Here is a 6,000-nt window from a genome sequence, read left to right on the forward strand (position 1 = left end):
ACCCTCAATTTTACCACATATCTATAGCCTATAGATTAACTGGATCATTATTATTATTAATCAGTTTTTAAGCCCACCTCATTGAATATATGAGACTCTCAAGATTAGAAGATGGGACGGCATTCTCTAGGAAAACTGTCTTCTGGATCAAATGACACACCAATTTCAAGATCTTCCTGATTCCATCAGTTACTCCCTTTTTCCATCAACTGTCTTTGTGTGTTTCTTTCCTCGGATTGAAGATATTTACATTTCTGATTGACATCAATATAATTATTTTTTTTTTCCGAGACAGGGTCTAACTCTGCCGCCCAGGCTGGAGTGCAGTGGTAAGATCTCGGCTCACTGCTACCTCCACCTCCTGGGTTCAAGCGATTGTCTTACCCTCAGCCTCCCGAGTAGTGGGGACTATGGAGCATGCCACCATTCCTGGCCTGATATATATATTTTAGTAGAGACAGAGAGATGGGGTTTTGCCATTTAGGCTAGGCTGGTCTCGAACTCCTGACCTCAGGTGATCCGCCTGCCTCAGCCTCCCAAAGTGCTGGGATTACAGGTGTGAACCACCAAGGCTGCCCTCTTATAATCATTGTGATATGCATATTACCTTCAAAATTTATGCTAATGGAACTGAATTGCTTGTAAATCATGAATGAATGGCTTGTAAAATCATCCTACAATGAAATATTCATTGGAATTTTTTTTCTGTCCTGACTCACAGCTGCATAAGAGAATTAGAAACAGTCAATGACATGGATATTTTATGTGCATGTTATCAAATAAAATTATATTTTTTAAAAATAGCACATTTGATATCACATATACATATATTAAGCCAGGATAACTTTAAGAAAATGATACCAGTTATCATTACTCTTTATCTCATTTATCTGAAGAAAATGCACTTGAAGCATAGGAATCTCTCCTCCCTATTACAGGGGATGCAAGCAAGAAACACATTTTGTTCTTGTGAAAGACTTAATGGGAGGAAAAAACAGAGGCTGGAAAGCCCTAATCTGACCTTCAAACAAAAAAGTCCTTTGAAAATAATGAAGTAAGTAATTTCCTCCCCTCTATTGGCAATGCCATCTCAATCTCTAAGAATTTCCTATTCACTCCTTGACCTTTCCAATGAGGTCATCACCAAAGGAAATGTCTTACTTCAAGAGTAAGAGCAGACTTTAAAGATCTTAAACAATTTCAGAGTATAGACCTTGTTAGATCCTGTTCTCTTGAAGGGAAAGAGTAAGCAAGAGTTTTTTGCCAAAGAAATAACTTCTCAATGAATTTCAAAGCACTTGTGTGTGTTCGGAAAGTAAAAAGCTGGACTCCATATAAATTCTAACATTTCAATACATTTTACATTGCCTACATCTTGAAATAATACTTTAGCTACTGAGGATTGTCATTTATTGATAAGGCTACATCTGATTTAGGAACTTATACTATTAAAAAAAACAGAAGAAATGTTGAGCTGAAAAAAGTATAAACTTTTCTCAAATAAAATATGTCCTTTTGACTACATGGTTTCACCTTATTCAAAGGGCAATTATTTTCTATAAATCTATATATGTTTGCAATTTATATGAAAGTTTTAGAAAATAATTTATGTTGCTCATATATAAGTAGCTACAGTGTTAAAATTTCTATTATATTATTTTACTTTTTAAAATAATTTGTATCTGATTTATGGTGTGCAAGACTTAAGATGAGAATTTAGTGAATTATATTTATGTCATACAGAACAGCAAAAAAGATAAATATATAAATAAATGATGAGATGTATGATATTCTAGTCATGGCTGGTCACGGTGGCTCAGTGGCTCACACCTATAATACCGGCACTTGGGGAGGCCGAGGTGGTTGGATCACCTGAGGTCAGGAGTTCGAGACCAGCCTGACCAACATGGTGAAACTCCATCTCTACTAAAAATACAAAAATTAGCCAGGCATGGTGGTAGGGCCTGTAATCCCAGCTACTCAGGAGGCTGAGACAGGAGAATTGCTTGAACCCGGGAGGTGGAGGTTGCAGTGAGCTGAGATCGCGCCAATGCACTCCAGCCTGGACGACAAGGGCAAAACTCCATTTCAAAAAAAAAAAAAAAAGATATTCTAGTCATGAAAAATAACAGTTGTGAAAGTTTAAATTAAGAAACTGAGGAAATGATAATTTTTTTAAAAATTGTATCAGCTTTCTTTGTGCTGATATTAAATCAGAACTGTTCTAAACATGATTCTCATATAATTGGTTACTATTTTAAAATGACAGATATTGAATGTGTTAATAAACCTTTCTGAAGCCATCTTATTTCATGGCCCCTCAGAAGTAGAATCTGAACACAAGATTTGAGAGCGAGTGATGCAATAAAGAAGTTCTGCCAAAAGAAACCACTCAGAAAGTGTAGGAAATACAACTGGAAAAAACAAGTCAAGCAAGGCTATGATTTCAGGTGAGGCACCAGCCTCAGTCTGACTGGATGGGGAGCTCTGGAGGGTAAATTGCACTTTATAGTTGGTCCTATGGGGAATCAAGTGTGCTGTGCTGTTGTATTCCACTAAGCATTCATTAGCTATGGGCCATAAGCTGTCCACAGACAACTCAGCTCTAAAAAGATAATCTGTCCTCGAAACTTTCCATGCCAGTCTTTACCAGCAAAGCACAGAGAGCCTAAGGAGCGGTCACACAGTTCCTATGGGGGATCCACGGTTTTTACATGAGGCACCAACATTGTCTACTCTAGGAAGCATATTGAATTTTAATTAGCAATTCTAAGAATTGCTCATAATATTGTTGCAGATACCACCAGCCGCCTACCCCAGAACCATTCACCACTGCTACGACCACCACCATCACTGACACCACCACCTGTAGCTCTCTTACCCTTTGCTGATTTAGCCTGATATTATTAAAGTGTTTACCTTTACACGATGCACTTTTAACTATTAGAATGATTATTGGTTTTACCCAGCCATATAAGTGGCATTTTCCTTCACAGTGGTTAGTTTAAAGTTAGCAAGAAACTTAATCTTCTTGATTTTTCAAGGAAAATGTATCCACATTTTCCACCCTAATAAAAAAAAAATGCACAGAAGAAAATATTCTTCATGACAACATCATCATGCCTGCATGCATTGACAGAAATTACTAAGGTCATGTTGCCATCATAAGTGGCAACAAAATATACAGTCTACAGATAGCAAAGTAAATCATGGAAAGCCACAAAGGTTTGGGTGAGACTTCTGGGCCACTGTAATCTCCGCAGAGCTGGATTTTTATTAAGCAAATAAAAAAACTAAATAATTGTCAATTGGGTCTTCTGTGTTAGCAAATGCATTTTTATTAATATAATAATAGCTGTCAAGCTATTGGCCTTTATAAAGAGCCTACAATGTGCCAGCTATATTTATAAGTACTTTACATATATCAATTCATTCTGGTGAAAGAGAACACATCCCATAGCTGCTAATAAATATCATAATTGTCACATATAATCAAGATATTTGGCTCCTATTGAAAACGTTCAAATTATGTTGTGTTGCTCACTGAAGTTACTATACATTATCACTACTACTTCCAGCAAAAACTATAGGGAGGAAACAGCAGATTATGTTTAAGTAATGTAAATAGCCATCTTAGTAAAATACTTACATAATATGTGTTTTTGATTTTCTTAATAATAGTCTTGTGCAGAAAAACTTTTTATAATTTAGAAGAATACTAAACTAACTATTGAAAACATTTGTATGTCTGTTTTCATCTCCTATATTTTTCCAGGCAATATGAGCAGAATACTAACCACAGAGTTTTCAAAGCCATATCAAACATAATCAATATGTTTGTGAAATCAAAGCACAAACATTCAAATTTCTGATATTTAATATACAAAGCGTATCTATACAATTTATAATTTGATAAATTTTACATGCTTATTCTTTCTCTGAATGTATTACATAATTACATGAGATATATTAACTCATATGCTACAATATTTCATTTAAGAATAGTGTCCTCTTCAAAATCGATTTGGGAATACTTACAGCTTGATTTAGCTCGACGGAATAAATGAAAATCTTAGAAGTTTAATTGTTGCTAGATCCAGTGAGAAAAACTATCCGGTATGGTACCTTTGCCTGCTATTATTCTTCTCTATTTATCTTTATTAGTATTCTAGAGTTATTAAGAATAGATTATAATTGAAATACGAGAAGTCCTGGGAAAACTTCATGGGCAGCCACCTAACCACTTTTTTTATATTCTACCGAAACTGGCTTTAAGGAAGAACGATCAGAGTACATACTTTAATTACAAGCAGAAGAACAGAGTAACTTTAACTTTATGATATTCAGTATTTTTTTATTCTAATCTTTATGTGACCCTGAAAATTTGAATTCAGGCTGGGTGTGGTGGCTCATGCCTGTAATCCCAGCACTTTAGGAAGCCCAGGTGGGTGGATCCCCTGAGGTCAGGAATTCAAGACCAACCTGGTCAACATGGCGAAACCCTGTCTCAATTAAAAATGCAAAAATCAGCTGGGTGCAGTGGCACGTGCCTGTAATCCCAGCTACTTGGGAGGCTGAGGCAGGAGGATCACTTGAACATGGGAGGCAGAGATTGCAGTGAGCTCAGATCATGCCACTGCACTCCAGCCTGGGAAACAGAGCGAGACTCCATTTCAAAATAAAAAGTAAAATAAAATAAATAAATAAATAAATTCATCTTTCTGAGAGTTAAAGCTAATGTCTATAAATTTTGGTTGATAATTAATAATATTTATCTGTGACTTCATAAAGAGTTAAAGGATGAATATAAAAGAATATGATTGCCTTAGTGTGTGAATCTCATGTGGTAAGCACACTTGATAAATGTCAGATCCTCTCAGTTATTTTTTTCTTTGCGACTCAGAGCCCACAGTAGGTGGAAATACCAATACCAAATTACCCTACGGAGACTAAAAACAGGACTAAAGGAGTTAAAGATATGAACTTCAGTATCTTGCGGGAGCTAAGATTTTAATTTATGCTGAGATGTAAAAAACTGACCTGATGTATTTTATTCCACAAGGGTATTTGAATTTTAAAGGATAAACTTTTACATAAATGTTATTATATATGTTTATCCAAAATATTCGAGGACAGAGTAGAACTTTCATAGAGGAGGAATTTTCCCACGGTGGTGAAAGGCAGTGTGCCACGCGGAGGGCTGCAGGGACAGTAGTATAGAAGGGCTAAACGGTGGTGAGAGTGTTGGAACATTCTCACGTAGCTGACACATAAACTGTAAATGGGATGTGAGACAAGAAAAGCAAAGGCTAGGCTTTGAAAGTGAGGGCCAGACTTCAAAAATCTTGAATGAAATAAAATAATAATTAATAATAATGGTTGACATACAGATTTCAAATGGCACTCCAAGGCACTATGTCTTGGAGTATCAAATTTAGTTTAAGACTGAGAGTAGGATTATACGAGTAGGAGATGCATCCTATTCACATGAAAATAAAGAGAGACATTGAGGAATAGAATGAAAAATTAACTTCAATAGTATGAAACTTCCGAGAGTGGTAAGTACCGCAGTTATAGAAGGTAATCATCACCCTTATTGATAAATGAAGAAACTAAGTTTAGATGGTCAAGATAATTTTCCCAGGATTATGTAACTGACAAGTCAGAGAACGGGAAATTTACCTATCTAAGCTTTGTTTTTTCCAAAACGATGCACTGTATGTTAAGAAAATAAATTTTTAGACAAAAGTAACAAGTCATTTGAGCATTTAAAATAGCTAAAAGCTACAATCACACAGACACACATACACACACACACACATATCCAACAACAAGGAAGGTAGAGGTATTTTGGCATTTGAAATTATCCTAGTAAGAAATGATAAATGTCTGAAATAGTGTAGAATTATTTCCCTTTACTGTCAGAGGCTAAATTGATGTTGGAAACATTACTTTCTTTGATAATAAAGTATTGTCATTATTAAGTGTTTATAAGGTATA

The sequence above is a fragment of the Homo sapiens genome, chromosome 21 (assembly GCF_000001405.40).
Source record: "Homo sapiens chromosome 21, GRCh38.p14 Primary Assembly".
Classification (NCBI taxonomy): Eukaryota; Metazoa; Chordata; class Mammalia; order Primates; family Hominidae; genus Homo; species Homo sapiens.